We start from the raw sequence: 20,660 nt of genomic DNA on the forward strand, positions 1-20,660 counted from the left end.
AGGGGTATTTAAAGAAAATGATGCAAATACACAGAGAGTTCTTTGTTTTGAGATGGAGTTTTGCTCCTGTTGCCCAGGCTGGAGTGCAATGGCGCAATCTCAGCCCACCACAACCTCCGCCTCCTGGGTTCAAGCGATTCTCCTGCCTCAGCCTCCTGAGTAGCTGGGATTAAAGGCATGTGCCACCATGCCTGGCCAATTTTGTATTTTTTTTTTTTTTTAGTAGAGACAGGGTTTCTCCATGTTGGTCAGGCTGGTCTTGAACTCCCGACCTCAGGTGATCTGCCCACCTTGGCCTCCCCAAGTGCTGGGATTACAGGCATGAGCCACCGCGCCTGGCCGACAGAGGGTTCTTTGATGGTGAGACATTAAAAAGGTAGAAAGAAGAGCATCTGACCAAGGAAGAATATAAGATGGTAAGATGGAACTGCCCAAGTCATGTCAGGAAGGCCTGGCCCAAAATGAGCTAATGCTAGGAGTTAAAAAAACAGAGGCCATTTACAGCTTAGTTTGCATCAAAAAACAAATCAAGGAAGCCTTCAAGTCCATTTGGGGCACGTAGTATGTTTTAGTTATGATTAGTTTTTTAAATTAAAAAAGTAATATAAGCACATGTAAAAAAAATGCCAATAGTACCACAGGGTATAAAATGAAAAATAAAATGTTGCAATGCTTACCAGACAACAAAGATAAATATGACCCTGTAATTCCTACTTTGCTTTGGTCTTCTCTGCCATCCAAACTCTGAACATTAGATTGGAAAGGGTCAAGCAGACATTGGCAAGAGGCAACTGGGGATCATGGTAAGTAAGAAAGCACCAAGGTGCTTTAAATAAGTCTCTTGACCTGGACAAATTGTATGTCAGGATGTTGAGAGAACCTGTAGTGAGATCGCTAAACTGGTGTTTGTAACCTTTGGGGAATCATGGGGAATGAGAGATGCCCCAAAGCCTAGAGAAGGATTATGCTTTTCTTTTTTTGAGATGAAGTCTTGCTCTGTTGCCCAGGCTGGAGTGCAGTGGCGCGATCTCGGCTCACTGCAAGCTATGCCTCCCGGGTTCACACCATTCTCCTGCCTCAGCCTCCCGAGTAGCTGGGACTACAGGCACCCACCACCACACCTGGCTAATTTTTTTGTATTTTTAGTAGAGACGGGGTTTCACTGTGTTAGCCAGGATGGTCTTGATCTCCTGACCTCGTGATCTGCCCGCCTCGGCCTCCCAAAGTGCTGGGATTACAGGGGTGAGCCACTGCACCTGGCCCCCCTCTTTTTTTTTTTTTTTTTGGAAGAAGATAGATTTCACAAGCTTTAGACAAGAAGGTTTCATCTTAATCCCAAGCAAGTTTCTGGAATACGTTATTGGAAGGAATGGTTTGCATGAGAGTCTTTAGAGGGGAGCTAGTGATCACAAAGAGTTTATAAACCCTTTACCTAAGAATAGCTTAAGACAGAGTAAGCTCATTTTCTTTTCTGAAATGAGCTTAGTAAATCAATATAAATGGGTAAAGCTTCGAAAATAGGTAAAGTGTAGCTGGGTTCCAGCAAGGCATTGACAAAAATCACTCATGACATTCTTGTGAAAAGGCTGGAAAAGTGTAGATAGTACAATTATTGAGCAGGCAAATGATCATCCCAAAGTCTGCTATTAACGGATCAATGTTTAAGCTATTTATATACTAGTTTATTACCTATTGCCCCCACTAGAATGTAAGCTCTTTGAAGGAGAGACTTGGTCCTCTATTTTGTTCACCACTTTATCTCTTGTACCATGAAGTGTCCAGTCCATTAGCAGGAAGTGTTCAGGAAATATTTGTTGTGTGAATGAAATAACCCAGAAGTAAGACTGCAAAGCACTTCACCAAGCTCTGTCTCAGCCCTCTCCTGTTCAGTGTTTTATCGTATACTTGGTTAAAGCCACTAGCTGGCATGCTGATCAAATGTGCAGATGATGTCAACTGGAGAGGGATAAGTAACATACTTAAAGACAGACTCTGCATCCAAAAAGATTAGCTGGCAAGAGCAATTTATTAGTGATACAATCAATTAGATGGTTTTTTTGTTGTTGTTGTTGTTTGTTTTTTTGAGATGGAGTTTCGCTCGTTGCCCAGGCTTGAGTGCAATGGCACGATCTCGGCTCACTGTAACCTCCGCCTCCCAGGTTCAAGCGATTCTCCTGCCTCAGCCTCCCGAGTAGCTGGGATTATAGGCATGCGCCACCACGTCCGGCTAATTTTTGTATTTTTAGTAGAGACGGGGTTTCTCCATGTTGGTCAGGCTGGTCTCAAACTCCGACCTCAGGGGATCCGCCTGCCTCGGCCTCCCAAAGAGCTGGAATTACAGGCATGAGCCACCACACCCAGCCAATTAGATGTTTTAAAAACTGGAAGTAGGCCGGACATGGCGGCTCATGCCTGCAATCCTAACATTTTGGGAAGCTGAAGCAGGAAGATCACTTGAGCTCAGGAGTTTGAGACCAGTCTGGACAACATAGTGAGACCTCATCTCTACTAAAAATAATAATAAAAAAAATTAGCTAATCATGGTGGTGCATGCCTGTGGTCCCCACTACTCGGGAGGCTGAGGCAGGAGGATCGCTTGAGCCTGGGAGTTTGAAGCTGCAGTGAGCTATGATTGAGCCACTGCACTGTGGCCTGGGTGACAGAGCAAAATGCTGTTTCAAAAACAAACACAAAAACCTGGAAGTACAAGCAGAGACATTAATTAATGGCCGTATGTGTAGAAAAAAAGACTTAGAAGTTTTCATTCTTCTTTCAACAAATATTTATTGGAAGTACCAGGCAGGCCAGGTACAGTGGCTCACACCTGTAATCCCAGCACACTGGGAGGCAGAGGCGGGCAGATCATTTGAGCTCAGGAGTTCGAGAGCAGCCTGGGCAACATGGTGAAATCCCATCTCTACAAAAAAATAGAAAAATTAGCCGAGTGTGGTGGCACTCCTCTGTAGTCCCAGCTACTTGGAAGACTGAGATGGGAGGATCATTTGAGCCCAGGAGGCGGAAGTTGCAGTGAGCTGAGATCGCACCACTGCCCTCCAGCCTGGGCAACAGAGCAGGACCCTATCTCAAAAAAAAAAAAAAGCATGCCAGGCACTGTGCTAGACCCTGGGATTATACAATGGTGAGGAAAACACAACATCTTCTCTCATGGAGCTTAAAGACTATTGAGGGAAATGGACATTAATCAAATTATTCCACAAACAAATGTATTTATTTTAAGCTGTGAAGAATAAAACAATGCTGAGAGCATAGAATAAGAGAACCTGGCCTAGTTAGGGAAAGTTTTTCCAGGGAACTGACACATGAGCCGACTTCTCAAAGATAAGTAGGAGCAAACTAAGGTGAAGGCAGGGAAGAGCAAACAGTGAGCCCGGTGAGTCAACAACATGAAGGGCCTGCTTCGATGCCATGTGGTTTCTTTCCCTTCTCCTCGGCGCGGCGGGGGTCAGGGTCAGGGCCTGGTGGCAGGTTCAGCTAGAGACTCAGCTTGCTTGCTCTCTAGACTGGCGGCTCCCTTGATAAGTTGGCCAGAGTGTTCACTGGGGCTTGGGCCAAAGGGGCAGCCTCTTGGTCAGGTTGGTGAGGTTAGGGCTGGGGAGACAACCAAAATGAGTAGGAGATTGGGATCATACAGAGAGAATGAGCCAATAAGTGAATATCGGAGGTTAATCAGCCAGGCTTCTCAATGTTGAAAGAGTTACAAATAGGGAAAGGGGAGAAAGCTAGAATAAATCCACTGGTGTTGGATTGAAAATGGAGCTATCATCAGCCAGGTGCGGTGGCTCATGCTTATAATCCCAGCATTTTGGGAGGCCGAGGTGGGTGGATCTCCTGAGGTCAGGAGTTCGAGACTAGCCTGGCCAACATGGCGAAATCTCGTCTCTACTAAAAATACAAAAATTAGCCAGGCGTGGTGGCACATGCCTGTAGTCTCAGCTACTTGGGAGGTTGAGGCAGGAGAATCGCTTGAACCCGGGAGGCAGAGGTTGCAGTGTGCCGAGATAGTGCCATTGCACTCCAGCCTGGGCGACACAGCAAGACTCCGTCTAAAAAAAAAAAAAAAAGAAAGAAAAGAAAATGGAGCTATCAGTATGAACTCATGATTTTCTATGTGTGCACGTATACATATACATTCATCTATACGTATGTACACATACACACATTTATTTCCCAGCTCTGTCCACTGAGAGGACCTAGAAATAATGTCACCCTCGTAACAATGAGTACACCTCTAGGACCCAGATCTTGGACACTACCACTCTGTTATAAGGCATCATGGCTCCTTGGAGAAATGACTGATTCCGGGTCTGGCACAGGGAAAGTACAAGATAAGCTCTGGTGCATCTTATTGTGCCACAAAATAAGGAAGTGCTGAAAGAATGATGGGGACATGTCAAATGGGGGTAGGACCCAGCTTTGGGCAGCAAAATAAATAATGATAATGGCTTATAACCCATTTAATAAAACAGGAATCCATTAGTCTGTACTAAAATGTATTTTAAAAACATGAATAAATAGGGGAGAAGAAAAACCTCTACCTTACCAATGCCAACTAATAAATGAAGAAGGAATGATGGAAGCAGAAAAATCAACATTTAGCAACCATCACAGTACAAATGTTCAGGCAAGAATCACCAATGGATGCTAAAACTAGTGGTGAAAGTTTAATGAGGAATGTGGTATTTACTTAGTCTCAAACTATCTTCCACCAAGTACCTCATAATTAATTATTAACCACTAAGTACAAAATATTTAGCTACTGACTTTACATTGGAGAGACCTGGCAGACATCTTCTTAACTTCAGTAACAGGGCAAATTGACATTGTGTGCTTGCTGGTATGATGCACTGAGAACACATCATTTTTTTGTGGTATGCCTACCCAAAATGCATAAACTGAAGCTAATCATTAGGAAACATCAGAATCACCTAAATTGAGGTGCATGGTACAAAGTAATTAGCCTGTACTCTTCAAAAATGTCAAGGTCATAAAAGATAAGGAAAGATTGAGGAATCATTTCAGTTTGTAGGAGATGGTAGAAGCATGACAACTAAATACAACTTATAATCCTGAACTTAGGAAGGACTTTACTAAGTTAATCAATCAGTGAAATTTGAATGCGGTCTGTGGATTAGATGGTAGAATTGAATCATTGTTAATTTCCTAATTTTGATGGTTGTACTGTGGTTATGTAAGAGAGTATCCCTGTTTTTATGAAATACTCACTGAAGCATTAAGGGGAAATGGGGCAGGATGTCTGCAAATTAATCTCAACTGGTTCAGAAAGAAACTGAGAGAGTGACAGGAAGGCAATGTGGTAAAAAATAAATAGAGAAGCTGGATAAAGGGTGTATGTCAATTCTTTGTGCTTGGTTGCAACTTAAGTCTGAAACTATGTCAAAATCAAAAGTTTAAAAATGTTAATACAAATCAACTGGAGGAAAAAGGTAGTGTAATCTTATGGTACACTAATGCCAGTCTACCCAGAAAGAGGCTGCTCAACTGTATTGGTCAGGCCTCACTGGAACATGGGGCTTGGCTTTTGGAAGGTGAGGTGACCAGATCACATGAGGAACAACTAAGGGGTCTGAGGATGTTTACCTCGAAGGAGAAAAAGCCTGGAGGACAAAGATAGGCCTGGCTTCTGTCTTCAGAGGCATCTCCAAGGGGCATCTGTGACACAGGAAGCAGATTTGTTACAGGGAGACAGACTTCTGTTTAGTATGAGGTAGGACATTTTACCAATTAGCAAAATAGGTGGGTTCAGCTATCTCAGGAATTCCCTGTCATGGGATAAGTTCCTTTTTTTGTTTTTCGAGATGGAGTCTTGCTCTGTCACCTAGGCTGGCGTACAGTGGCTCAATCTCAGCTCACTGCAACCTCTGTCTCCTGGGTTCAAACGATTCTCCTGCCTCAGCCTCCCGAGTAGCTGGGACTACAGGCACGCGCCACCATGCCTGGCTATTTTTTTTTTTTTTGTATTTTTAGTAGAGATGGAGTTTTGCCATGTTGGCCAGGCTGGTCTTGAACTCCTGGCCTCAAGTGATCTGCCCACCTCAGCCTCCCAAAGTGCTGGGATTACAGGCACAAGCCACTACGCCTGGCCTGGAATAAGTTCTGTTAGAAACTGGGCAACAGATTCTCAAGGATGTTAGAGAGAGATTTCATGAATCAGATAAATGCTGGCCCTGGTGACCACTAAGGTCCTTCCAAATAAGAGTCTGGGATTCTTTGATATCTTCAGGGATTAGGAATTTGAGCACTTTGGGAATAAAATGCAATCTGTGTTGAACTGGGATGAACATTCTCTTTTGTTCAGATGGGGCATAAACCATCTTGCTCTCACATGGTCTATTTCAATATCATCCTTAGCACTTTGGAAAATTCATTTGTCCCCCAGAAATGAGCTGGTCACCAAGGTAAATTCAGCATGCTTTTATTTTAGAAAGTTTATTCAACAACATGAAAACAGGGTCTGAGCAAACAGAAACAAAAGCTCAAGAGAAACTCTGGCAAAAATTTAAACAGTCAGCATCTCGGGACAATGTATCTTCTTCATGTGGCCATGAGCTTGCCTAATCTGACTTGCTCCAGTAGCCATGTTCATGAAAAACTGGGCCCTTGTTGTTACTCAATGCTTCCACAAGCTGACTATACAGCATATTCATCTGGGAAAGAGAACAACAAATAGATTTCTTGAGGGGAAAAAGAAATGTGGGAAAGCTTCCCAGACCCACGGTGATGGCATGAAAGTCTAACCGTTACCTTCGGAGATCTGAAGCATCTCAGATTTGGGGAGAAAATACAGTCCTCTCTTGAGGAAAAGGAATCCCCTATTATAAGGGAGAAGATACTTAACTATAAAATATCCTTTGCTCTTATTTGGTAACAAGGCTTTTTCTCTACCAAACCTCTCCTGGTTAGCCAATGGCCCAGAACTCTGCAACTGAGAATAGTTCCTGGAGAAAATGCCTTTTTCAACAGTTATTGCTTTGAGCAGAGGCCAGTCCTTTCCCACATGCACTGGCACTGACAGTGATGCATCTTTCCAGAGCTCACTCTTGGCATTCCTCTTAATTAGATTCCATTTGCTATCCTTAAATTTCCCCCTGTTCTCTGTCCTTCTTGGTTTTTGCTCTAAGGAATTACTGTTTATGGTCTCCTGATTCTTGAAGTTATGTGGAACCATTGAGAGGAACAATGAGCAAGATCCTTTCCTAGCCAAGGAGGATGGGGTTGAGTCCTTGTGGAGAGCCCAGCCATAACCTCTTGCCCCCTAGGTCATGTCATCTGCCCTAGCCCTCTCCCTCCTTACCTGAGTTTCATAGCTTTCCTTGAAGGAGGTAAGGTGGTTAAGGAAACGCAAGGCCAGGCCACACCACTTTTCAGCAGATGCATACTTGCTCCTGCTAAACATAAGTACTCCGGTATTCCAGGACTTGACCATCAGCCAGAGAATCTCCATTTCTGGGTAGTCTTTCTATAATCCAAGAACAGAAATTTTGCAGTTATTACTGTCACAGTTCATTGTGGCACTACCTGTATCCATGCTATGTCCCTTTATTACTAAACAAACAATAGGAGCTCTGCTGATGTTTAGGAAGGTCTGTGCTCCTGGAGAGTGCAGGAGGAGAGCACTTTGAAGGTTTGTCAGCTGTAGAATGTTCCATAGCAAGATCTCATGAAGAGACGTAAACCGAGGTCCTCTCTGACTGAAGGAAAGAATTAGAAAGATTCCTAATCTTCCTGAGGCACGAGAAAAACTTGCATACTGTTTGGGGCTTCCCTTGATTCTGTCTTCAGTCAATTACCTCCCTAATACCTACCTCTACTTTTCGGATAAGGTTGTCAAGAAGCAGTTTTATTGAATTTCTTAATTTCTGTCACCAGAATTAGTCCATATTTGGAGTAGAAATTATATTCATCTTCAGAGTTAACGATATCTACCTAGCTATGAACACAGCACACATTTCTAAGATGGTCCCTTAGCCTTATCAGTGGTCTTTAACATGACTAATCACAAGATTATATTTGCTTCTTCACAATACTTTGCAATAGTGAAAAGTATTAGTCTAAGAAGCTACTTTCTTGGTTCTTGCATAGGAGATGGAACACAAAGAAAGCATTCATGTTAAAGCCCCAGAAGGGAGAAATGTGATAGGAGACACATTAGGCAGCAGCTTTTTGAGAGTGTCAAGAATGCTGTCTCAGCTGTCATCCTTTCATTCATTTGGATCCAAAAAGAAATTACTATACATAAAACACTGTGATAATGAGGGCACTAAGAGGGAAAAGACAAAACTTTTATCCTAAAGGTTGTGCAATGCTTTTGGGGACACAAGGCATCCACATGTAAAGACGACTTCACAAGGTATGTGATTAAGAGACACAAACATTAGGTGCTCTCATTCAGTTAAAGAAATGAGCACTAGGATATTCCAGTCAGAGGCGGTCTAGTCTCTGCTTGAAACACTACTCCTCATCCTTGTCCACTTCATAGACTTATACTTTTTCTTCAAATTCACAAGAACAGTTAGTTGTCTGTTCCCACAGTGAGCTTTCCATTCCTCTAATATAACTTATGTTATATTGTTTTGAAATGCTATGTATTTATCTCCTCCAGACTATTGAGTTCCTTGAGGTACAGGGAATTTTTCCTGTGCATTTTTGTATCTTCAGAGTCCAGCACTGTGCCTGGCACATAAGAGGCACAACAGATGTTTGCTGAATGAATGAATGAACAAATGAATCAATATCCAGTCAGATGCCACCTCCTCAGTGAGGATTTCCCTGGCTCTCCACAATTTCTTGCTCAAACCTCTTTGCCCCTCTGCTACTTTGTTCACAGCACCATAATAGTACTTTGAACACTGTACTGCCTGTCTCCCCCACTAGGCAGGGAGCCCCTTGAAGGTAAAATGACATTTGCCTTTGCTTGGCACAGTGTCTGATACAGGGTATGAGTGTTGTGATTTTAATGTTGTGAATGAAAAAAATGACTTAAACAAACAAACAAACATGATCTTAGGGTAGATGAGTAGGATCTACATATACAGAGATTATATGAAATGTGCAGAATAGGCAAAGCCATAGAGACAGAAAGGAGATTTGTGGTTGCCAGGGGCTGGGGAAGGGAGGTATGGGGAAGGACTGCTAATGGGTATAGAGTTTCTTTTGGGGATGATGAAAATGTTCTAGAATTAGATAATGGTGATGGTTGCACAATCTTTTGAATATACTATAACTCACTGAACTGTATACCTTAATGTGAGTTTTATGATATATGAACTAAATCTCAATTAAAAAGAAAAATATAGATATTCAGAGAAAGAGAAGGGCATTCCATGTGGGTAGAACAGAATAAATGAAGACTTGGATTGTACTTGAGAACAAGCATGTCTTAGGAAGACCAAGAGTTCTTTGGCCTAAGCAGACGATTTATGTAGAGGAGTTAACGGGAAATAAGACTGGAAATGTAGGATGGAGCTTCCTAAGCCTTTCCTCAATGTTCTTCCTCAGAACACTAGTGTCATGAGAAATGTTAACAGATGGTCTATGAAAATAGAGTTCTTTAGTCAAATACATTTTGGAAATGCCGCATTCTATATATCACCCTTTTGGAGCATTATAATGCACACTAGTTCACTGAAAGTTTAGGGAAGTTTTACAGTAAAGAAACCATGGAACTTTGTCTAATCCAGGGTATGTGGAACGTTTGCTAACATCTTGTGGGCTGGAGTGTTAAGGGTTTTTGCATTACAGGCTTCAGATTTTGAAATTTATCCTGCTGGCAACGGGAAGGCACTGAAACTTTTTGAGAAGGAGAGTGATATGATGAAAGTGTAGTTTTAATAAGATAGAAATGCCAGTGGTGTTTAGAACAGACCTCCGTGTGGGAAAACACAGACAGGGAGACGTGTTTAAAGGGAGTTATGGCCTGGCGCAGTGGCTCACACCTGTAATCCCAGCACTTTGGGAGGCCAAGGCGGGCAGATCACCTGAGGTCGGGAGTTCGAGACCAGCCTGACCAACATGGAGAAACCCCGTCTCTACTAAAAATACAAAATAGCTGGGTGTGATGGCACATGCCTGTAATCCCAGCTACTCGGGAGGCTGAGGCAGGAGAATCGCTTGAACCCAGGAGGCGGAGGTTGTGGTGAGCCAAGATTGTGCCATTGCACTCCAGCCTGGGCAACAAGAGTGAAACTCCAAACTCCGTCTCAAAAAATAAAATAAAGGCCCGGCGTGGTGGCTTGTGCCTGTAATCCCAGCACTTTGGGAGGCCGAGGCAGGCAGATCACGAGGTCAGGAGATCAAGAACATCTTGGCTAACATGGTGAAATCCTGTCTCTACTAAAAATACAAAACATTAGCCGGGCGTGGTGGCAGGCACCTGTAGTCCCAGCTACTCGGAAGGCTGAGGCAGGAGAATGGCGTGAACCTGGGAGGCGGAGCTTGAAGTGAGCCAAGATCGCACCACTGCACTCCAGCCTGGGCGACAGGGCGAGATTCTGTCTCAAAAAAATAAATAAATAAAAATAAAATAAAATAAAATAAAAGGAGTTGTGTGATCTAAGAATGAAGTGATGAGGGTCAGAACTAAAATAGTGACAATTTAGATGGACGGATGTAAGAATCATTTAAAGGAAGAATCAATAGAATTTGGTAACTGATTTGATATGGGGAATGACAGGTCAAGTGAAAATGGCTCTAAGGTATGTAGTTTGAATGGCTGAAAGAATGCTGGCATCACTGAAAGAAAAAATTGAAGGACATGTTTCTGGGGATAAGGGACAACAATAAGTTCTATTTTAAACAAGTTGGCTTGAGGTAACTCTGGAGATAAGCAGGCTGTTGCAGATATGGATTGGAACTCAGGTAATAGTTAAAGTGTATTAATTCACTTAAAGGACAGAGTACAGAATACAGAGTAGCAAAGAGTAGAGAATATTGGAAATGTTCATAGTTGGGTGGTAAGAGGGAAAAGAACGCAGAGGAGTGGCGAGAAAATAAAGGACAAAGGAAAACAGAATTTCAATAAGGAGGCAGTGGTCAATAACGAAGGCCAGGGAAAAGAGACCATCATATTTGCCTAGACGGTGGTAATTTGTGGTCTTGTAAAGTGTGGCTGACAGTGCAGAATGTGAGGGAAAGAGTGGCTCAAGATGAGGACAGATAGGTTAGTAGGATCTTGTATACCACATTCAAGATTTTGGTCTTTATTTTAAGAGCAATGGGAAACTACTAAAGAGGATTTCAAAAGGTCATGCATACTCAAAAATGTAAAAGATTGGCTGGGCATGGTGGATCACACCTGTAATCCCAGGACTTTGGGAGGCCGAGGTGGGCGGATCACGAGGTCAAGAGATCGAGACCATCCTGGCCAACATGGTGAAACCTCATCTCTACTAAAAATACAAAAATTAGCTGGGCGTGGTGGCGGGTGCCTGTAGTCCCAGCTACTGGGGAGGCTGAGGCAGGGGAATCGCTTGAACCTGGGAGGCAGAGGTTGCAGTGAGCCGAGATTGCACCACTGCACTCCAGCCTGGTGACAGAGCGAGACTCCATCTCAAAAAAAAAAAAAAAAAAAAAAAAAAGTAAAAGATCACCTTGGTTGCTGGGCAAAGAAAGGAAGGAAGAAAGCAAGAGTAGATGTGAGGCCAGTTAAAAGGTTCCTGAGATCACTAAACTAGCTAAGATAAAAGGTGTGTAACTTGAACTAGGTTACTGATGGTGAAAGATAGGAGGAAGTAGATGAATTTGAGAGATATTTGGGAGGTCAAATTGATTGATAGTACTTGGTGATAGATTAGAAGTGGGAGTGAGGGAGGTGCTGAGGATGACTCCTAGATGTCTGGCTTGGGCAACCAGAAGAATGATGGTGTCATCCAATGAGTTAGGGAACACTCGAGTTTTATTTTAATTTGCATTAGTTGCCCTCATGCCCAGCATTGCTTATGAAAATCATTAATCCTCAATAAAGAAATGCATCCACACAGCTACTGACCTGAAAGCCACATGGACTTGCCTACGTGTAATACAAATCAATGTCAGCAAACTGAGGTGTTTGCTCTGATGGTTTTTGGGGCCACATATTTTAAACCAGTTTTCTCTGTCCTCAACATCTTAATACATATGGCAGCCACGTAGATCTCTAACTGAATCGTAGGTATTCTGGAGCACAAATGCCTGTCCTTTTAGGCTCTCCATAGATTCCCAAAGTAAATAGTATGTGCATCAGCTTTATTAAGATACAATTAAATAAAATACCATAGTTTATCTAAAGTGTACAATACGGTGGTTTTTAGTATATTCACAGTATTCACAGAGTTCTGCCACCATCATCACAATCAATTATGGAATATTTTCATTCCTCCAAAAGGAAAGCCCATGCCCATTGGCTCCATATTCCCCCTGCCCCCAGCCAATATCCTTCCATTTCCTCTCAACCTGCCCCCCTACCCCACTAAGCCCTGGGCAACCACTACTCTCATTTCTGTCTCTTATAGATTGGCCTTTTCTGGACATTTAAGATAAATGGGGCCAGGCAGTATGTGGGCCCTTGTGACTGACATCTTTCACTTACCATGTTTTCAAGGTTTATCCATGTTATAGCACGTGTTAGTACTTCATTCCTTTCAATGGACAAATAGTATTCCATTGAATGGAAATACCACATTTTGTTTACCCATTCATTGGCTAACAGACATTCAGGCTGTTTCCATTTTGGGCTATATGAATAACTTTGCTATGAACATTTGCTATGAGTCTTTGGACACATGTTTTCATTTCTCTTGGGTATACACCTACCAGTGGAATTTCTGGGTCACAGGGTAACTATGTTTAACCTTCTGGGAAGCTGCCAGACTTTTTCAAAGCTAGAACAATATGAACAATAAAATAAAGTAATATTGTATTATAACCCAAAGTATAAAATACATATCTGCCTGGGTGTGGTGGCTCATGCCTATAATCCCAGCACTTTGGAAGGCCAAGGAGGGTGAGTTGCTTGAGCTCAGAAGGTTGAGACCAGCCTAGGAGACATGGTGAAACCGCATCTCTACCAAACATACAAAAAATTAGCTGGGTGTAGTGGCATGTGCCTGTAGTCTCAGCTACTTGGGAGGCTGAGGTGGGAGGATCTCTTGAGCCCAGGAGGTCAAGGCTACAGTGAACCATCATCATGCCATTGCACTCCAGCCTGGGTGACGGAGTGAAACTCCATTTCAAAAAAAAACCCACAAAACTTATGGGTTTTTTTTTTTTTCATAGAGACAGAGTGTCACTTTATTGCCCAGGCTGGTCCCAAACTTCTGGCTTCAAGTGAACCTCCCACCTCGGCCTCCCAAAGTGCTGGGATTACATGCATGAGCCACTCCACCAGGCCTAAAATGTTTTGTGGTATCTTGTGCTATTTATTAATTCATGTAACCAAAACTATTTGTTTCTTATACAGCTTCTGAGTGGGTCCTCTCCATTCCATGATTTAAAAAAATGCTTTCCTCTGTTTTTTCCTAATGCTTTTATAGCTTTGATTTTATGTTTAGCTCTTTAATCTATCTGGATTTTCTTTATTTCTTCCTTTTGGACTTTATTTTTGTGCATGGTATAAGGCAAAAAAATAATACTATCACTTATATAGTACTTACTATGTGCTGCTATAAGTACTTTATATATATTAAGTTATTTAATACTAATAATACTGTAAGGTAGGCACTTTTTTTAGCTTTTATTTATTTATTTATTTTTCATAGAGACAAGATCTCGCTATGTTGGCCAGGCTGGTCTTGAACTTCTGGCCTCAAGCGATACTCCTGCCTTTGCCTCCCAAAGTGCTGAGATTATTATTATATTTATTTTACAGATGAGGATACAGAGGTATACATAATTAATTAATAAGACCAAAGTCATACAGCTAATAAATGGTGTAGCCAGAATTTATTTGAACTGGTTATGTGGCTCCAAAGTCTGTTCTCTTAACCACTATGCTATAACGCCCCTCAGTTTAAAAATAAGGACGTAACTTTGCTTTTTAAATTGTCCCAATACCATTTTACCAATTGTTCCCTCAGTGATGTGATATACCTTTTCCATTGCATACAAAATTCTCATAGATATGTGGATCTCCTTCTGGGCTCAGTCCTGTTCTATTAATCTCTTTGTAGATTTTTGCACTAATGCCATACTTTTAAAATTAATATCATTTTATAGTTTTAAAAGTATTTGATAAGGCAAGTCCTTCCTTGTTCTTTTACAAAAAATGTTTTGGTTCATTTTCTTTTAGGGAAGAATTTTAGAATCATCAAGTTTCATTAAAAATCCTATTGAGATTTTAATTTTGACTGAATTTATTGCATTGAATTTAGGGAAACTGACTTTATACTGTTAGGGCTTTCCTGTCCAAGAACATGGTATATATTTCCATTTGTTTGAGACTTATGCATTCTTGAAAGCAGAATGGAACCATCTGTAGGCAGAGAGTAAAAATGATGGACAGGCAGTAAAATGCCTCAGGAAGTAGAAGGGGATTGAACTGACAGTGCAAGGTTGAGAAAATTTCTTTTGAAAAAAGAGGAAAGGTGAGTAGGTAGGTACAGTGGTAGAATGTTATGGTTGAGACATGGGCCAATGAGGGATCTCATATGTGATGCCCTTGATCTTCTCAACTGAAATGATATGATGAGATCATCTAATGGGGAATGAGGTAGGTCTAAGTTTTTACGAGATTAGAAAAGGTTTGAAGCAGCCACTTTACTTGAGTTTGCCAAAAAGTTGACAAGAATAAAAGAATTTCTGAGCAGCAATGAGAACCCACTGAAAGCTTAACAGAATGAATCTGTACTGGGCCAGATCTAGATGGTTCTGTAACTTTCTTTAGTGCTTCTGCTGCTCAAGATCAGGAGCAGAAGAACTGATGGTGGCAAGGTACCAGGTTTGGAAAAAAATGAAACAGCAGGAATAATCAAAAGAAGAGAGAAAGAGAGAAGGAAGGGGAGGAAAGAAGGGAGGGAAGAAGGAAGGAAGCAAATAAAGAAATAAAGAAAAGAGAAAGAAAGAAAGGAAAAGAAAGAGAAAAAGAAAAAAAAGGTAGTTAGACTGGACTATAATAGAGTGGGAAAAGACGAGTGATTTGAAGTTCAAGTGAGAACAGAGAATAGATATGGGGAAGTAAGGGAGATTAGACTCAATAGAAAAGTGTTGCGTTAGTTACCAATCTTGAAGATGGAGCAGTGCCACAGTGGGTGGCTTATATGGGAGGTAGACAGTGGCTAAAAAGTGAAAAACGGAAACTGTGAGGTACAAGAATTGCTAACATGGATGCCAAAGTCACTTAGGATAATAAATAACAATGAAGTTACCAAGGAAGGAAAAGGTGGGTCCAGGACATGACAACATTGGTGATGAAGAGATATAGGTTTTAAGTGAAGAGAAGCCGTAGGAAGGTGGTATATAAATAGTACAAAGTGCCACCATGGAGCAAAGATCCAGGTAATTTAGTCCCTTCTGCTGAGAAAAAGGGAGTTGGAAAAGATGAGACCTCCATAAAAATTCGTAGTGAGGGACACGTTTTCTTCAGGGAAGATTCTGCTTTGTTCTAAGAAGAAGGGAGAGAAGGAGGTGAAGGTTGATGATAAAGAGAATATTGACTATTGCCTGGGAAAAACTCTGTCTTGTTTTGGGGGTTGAATGAGGTTATGGATAGATAGCCTTAAGGGTCTAGGTAAGGATTTGGGAAATACAGAGTTGTTAAAAGATTTGAGGGAAAGGGAGTGATAGAGCAAAAGTTGTGTTTTACGGAGATATATTTGATAGGGATGAACAGGAAAAAATGGAGAAGAGAAGAAAGAGCCAGAGACCAATTAGGAAACTACAAAGCTGTAGGAGAGACACAATATCAAAGTCTGACTCAAAGATGGCTTTGTATGAACCTCAATTCCAGTCTCAGGGAGACGTGAGGCTTGGAAGGAGGAAGATTTAGATGAAAGAAGGCTGGGTGCAGGGGCTCACACCTGTAATCCCAGCACTTTGAGAGGACATGGCAGGAGGATTGCTTGAGCCCAGGAATTTGAGACCAGCCTGGGCAACATAGTAAGACCTCCTCTCAATTAAAAAAATTTTATTAAAAAATAGATGAAAGAAAACCCAAGGACCATTGTCCTATGAAGAAATAACACGGCTGCAATTTTTAGCTTTGCCATTATATAGTGGTATGACCTTGTGTCAGATATTTAACCTTTCAATGCCTCAATTTGCAAAATAATGAGCTTAAATTAGGTAACTGCAAAGATCATTAGTTTCCAGTTCTAAATTTTCTCAGTCATTGAATGAAGCTTTACCTTATATTTCCTTTAGATCCCAATTGCCTAATCTATGAACTTATATAAGATTGGCAGAAGTAGGAACTGAGATGAAATTGAACAAGTAGAAGGCCAAACAAGAGACAAAAGATACTGATAAATGACCTTCTCAAACTTTAATGTGCATACAAGACACTTGGAAATATATATATATATATATATTTTTTTTTTTTTTAAGATGGAGTCTCACTCTGTTGCCCAAGCTGGAGTGCAGTGGTGTGATCTTGGCTCATTGCAATCTCCGCCTCCTAGGTTCAAGCAATTCTTCGGCCTCAGCCTCCCAAGTAGCTGGGATTACAGGCGCCTACCACCACGCCCGGCTAACTTTTGTAATTTTAGTAGAGACAGGGTTTCACCATGATGGCCAGGCTGGTTTTGAACTCTGACCTCAAGTAATCCATCCGCCTCGGCCTCCCAAAGTGCTAGGATTACAGGCATGAGCCACCGTGCCCGGCCGGAAGTATAGTTAAAACGCAGACTGATTCAGTAGGTCTGGGGCCTAAGATTCCATGCTTCTAACAAGCTCCTAGGGGATGCTGATCACGCTTTGGGAAGCAAACTCTTAGAGAATGTAGCTCAGTAGTTTGAATCACCTTAGCTTCCCTTGTAAAAGGAAAGAGTCTGTGTTCTTCTGGGCTTCTTGGTTACAAAACGCCTTTGTGACTCTGTGACTCTGACATCAGCTGTGAGGATTAGGTTTGTCCCTTCTCTTTAAGTGTAGGTTTCCCCCCCACCATTATTTAAGTCTTTGTATATTCTTAAAAATGAACCAAGAAATTTCCACTTCCATGAGATGGAATAAATGTACTTATCCCTATTCTTCCTGCTAAATAAAACTAACTCTTGAACATTATACATAAAACAAACATAAGAAACCTCTGAAAGGTGTAGAGAAAGGGAAGACCTTGGAGCCAAGGATTGACACAGTGATAAGTTCTCTGGGTTTTCTTTTTGCTTCATATACCCCAAACTTGGTGCTAGAGATGCCAACAGACATAGACCCAAAAAGAAAAAGAAAGAAAAAAGCCCCAAGAAAAGTCTGCTGTCTCTAGCCAAGGGACCAGTAGTAAAAAGGAGTCCTCTACCTTGAGTATCAATGATGGAGGTCAAGTTAGAAACTTAGGCTTGTTTCTACTTCTACCTGGAAGTAACAAGGCTGGGCCCACTCCCTTGCTAAAGCAGGTCAGAGAAACCAAGTTAAAACAGAAGGTTTAAATGAGATCCAGAGTCTCAGAACAAAATATGAAATTGTCCAGGTTTAACAAATTTACTCATTATACCAATAATCAGGAAGATCTCAAATAACGAAAAAAGACAATGAATTGATGCCAACACTGAGATGACAGAAATGTTACGATACCTGACAAAGATTCTTTTCTATGACTTAAAAAATGGGGTAAAATACATATAGCACAAAATTTAACCATCTTAATCATTTTAAGTGAACAGTTTAGTGGCGTTAAGTACATTCACATTGTTGTGCTATCATCACTACCATCCATCTCCAGAACCAGTTTCATCTTGCAAAGCTAAAGATCTGTACCCATTATGTAATAACCCCAGTCCTTGGTGACTACCACTTTACTTTCTTTTTTTTTCAATTGTTTATTAAATAATTTTTTTTATTATGGAGATAATTAAATGACATGTTTGTTGTCTGAAAGAGATAGACACTTTTGCTTGTTTATGGAGATATAAAATGTAAATGCCTTACTATTTTATTCCCTTCCATAAACACTGAGTTTGAGTAATTTTGCTGGATTCTTCAAACACTGAGTATTTTCTCATGTAAAACTGAGTGAACAACCCTGACTGGGAAATAGAAGCTCAAGCCCAGTGACTCCAAGCTAAGGTCAATCTTGAGCCTGCAAGAAGAGGCCATTAAACACCCAGTCAGCTCTTCCTGGGGAGCCTCCCCTGCAGGTGTCCATCTCTATGAATTTGACCACTCTGGGTACTTCATATAAATAGAAGGATACAATATTTGTCCTTTTGTAACAAACAATGACTTGATGAATCTCTAGAGAATTATGCTAAGTGAAAAGAACCAATCTTGGCCAGGTGTGGTGGCTCATGCCTATAATCCCAGCACTTTGGGAGGCCAAGGAGGGAGGATCGCTTAGTCCAGGAGTTTGAGACCATCTCTACAAAAAAATTAAAAAATTAGCTGGGCTTGGTGGTGCATGCCTGTGGTCCCAGCTACTCGGGGAGTTGAGGTGGGAGGATCGCTTAAGCCTGGGGGGCTGAGGCTGAGCTATGATCAGCTTCACTGCACTCTAGCCTGGGTGACAGAGCAAGACCCTGTCTCAAAAAAAGCCAATCTCAAAAAGTTATGTACTGTATGATTCCAAATCTCAAAAGCTATATACTGTTTGATCACATTTATATGACATGCTTGAAATGACAAAATTATAGAAATTGGTAATAGATTTGCGGTTGTCAGGGTTTAAGGAGGAGCTGAGAGTGGGAGAGAAGAGTGTGAGGGCTATACAAAGGAAACATGAGGAATACTTGTGGTGACAGAAATGCAATGCTCTATGTCTTGATTGTGATAATGCCAACATCTTGATTGTGATGTTGTACTATAGTTTTGTTATCGTTGGGGGAAACTGGGTAAAGAGTACATGAGCACTTTGGGAGGCCAAGGCGAGCAGATCACTTGAGGCCAGAAGTTCGAGACCAGCCTGTCCTACATGGTGAAAACCCATCTCTACCGAAAATACAAAAAAATTTAGCCAGGCATGGTGGCATTTGCCTGTAGTCCCAGCTACTTGGGAGGCTGAGGCATGAGAATCGCTTGAACCTGGGAGGCGGAGGTTGCAGTAAGCCGAGATGGCGCCACTGCACTCCAGCCTGGGTGACAGAGCGAGACTCTGTCTCAAAAACAAACAAACAATAAAAAGAGTACACGAGATCTCTCTGTGTTATTTCTTACAAATGCGTGTAAATCTACAATTATTTCAAAATAAAATTTTGATTTAAAAAAACTTGAACAATCGACTTCTTCTTAAAAATTATCTAGAATATGAACCTACATAGGTTGATAGGTTTGTCTGCTTAAGCCTGGGAGTCATCTCCCTGCTTTTTCATTACCACTAGCTTCTAAATATCAACTTGAGCTTCTCCTTTAAACTAAAATTTCCTAGCAAAAACTGGTAAAGAAGCCACGCACCTCCAGTGGAAACAGCCCTGTAGTTGATGTGCAACGGACTGAATGTTTGTGTCCCTTCAAAATTAGTATGTTAAAATCCTAACCTCCAAGGTGATGATATTAGGAGGTGGGGCTGTTGGGAGGTGATAAGGTCATAAGAGGAGTGCTCTCATGAATAGGATTAGTGCCCTTATAAAAGAGACCCTAGAGAGATCCTTTACCCCTTCTGCCATGTGAGCTTACAGTCAGAAAGGACCGTCTATGGGGAAGCAGACCCTCACTGGACACTGAATCTGCCAGTGTCTTGATTTTGGACTTTCTATCCTCCCAAACTGTGAGAAATAAATTTCTGTTATTTATGATCCACCCACTCTATGGTATTTTTGTTATAGCAGCCCGAATTGACTAAGACAGGAGCTCAGAAGACCTGCATTCTAGTCCTGACTCTCACTCATTAGTCATGAATGACCTTAGGTAAATTGGTTACTTGACTTTTTGAATCTTAAAATTCCCTCATTGATAAATTAGGGATAACAATAGCAGCATTGTCTACTTCTATAATTGCTGTTGGAGGTTGTACGAGAGAGTGGACGTAAGAGTACTCTGCTCAGTCTAAAGCATAATATTGTGAGGCATGAGGTTTTATATTTGTATGATAGCCATTTTGCCAGTGTGTGGAGGCACTTGATAAAGGTTATCTGCTCAGTGAATAATGAATGAGTGACTGGTCATTAAAAAAGTCAGTCAAACAAAGGCAGAATTTTGTCCCAAGCATTTGAAACAAAGGAGATGCACGGCACATTCAATCAAATAGGATAAAGCAACATATATAATATAAAGAGCCAAGAGGGTTATTAAATTAATCACTGCAGGCTGGGCGCGGTGGCTCACGCCTGTAATCCCAGCACTTTGGGAGGCCGAGGTGGGCGGATCACAAGGTCAGGAGATCAAGACCATCCTGGCTAATACGGTGAAACCCCGTCTCTACTAAAAATGCAAAAAAATTAGCCGGGTGTGGTGGCGGGTGCCTGTAGTCCCAGCTACTCAAGAGGCTGAGGCAGGAGAATGGCGTGAACCTGGGAGGTGGAGCTTGCAGTGAGCCGAGATCGCGCCACTGCACTCCAGCCTGGGCG

At 41.7% G+C, this 20,660-nt stretch overlaps 1 protein-coding gene across 7 annotated transcripts in view; it reads right to left on the reverse strand.

Annotated features, from left to right (window-relative positions):
- The window catches only part of TEX11 (testis expressed 11), a 397,485-nt gene that overhangs the window by 11,275 nt on the left and 365,550 nt on the right, over positions 1–20,660 (reverse strand). For 4 of the 7 annotated variants that reach the window (XM_017029649.1, XM_017029650.1, XM_017029651.2 and 1 more), the window contains 2 exons: positions 7,334–7,498; positions 5,620–5,691 (listed from right to left, as the gene is read on the reverse strand). In XM_017029649.1, coding sequence (XP_016885138.1) covers positions 5,620–5,691; positions 7,334–7,498 — 237 coding nt within the window. Of the gene's footprint in view, positions 1–3,207; positions 3,610–5,619; positions 5,692–6,438; positions 6,687–7,333; positions 7,499–20,660 lie in introns of those variants that run through there. The other 3 variants (NM_031276.3, NM_001003811.2, XM_011530994.2) reach the window with 2 other exon arrangements.

The sequence above is a fragment of the Homo sapiens genome, chromosome X, assembly GCF_000001405.40.
Source record: "Homo sapiens chromosome X, GRCh38.p14 Primary Assembly".
Lineage (NCBI taxonomy): Eukaryota > Metazoa > Chordata > Mammalia > Primates > Hominidae > Homo > Homo sapiens.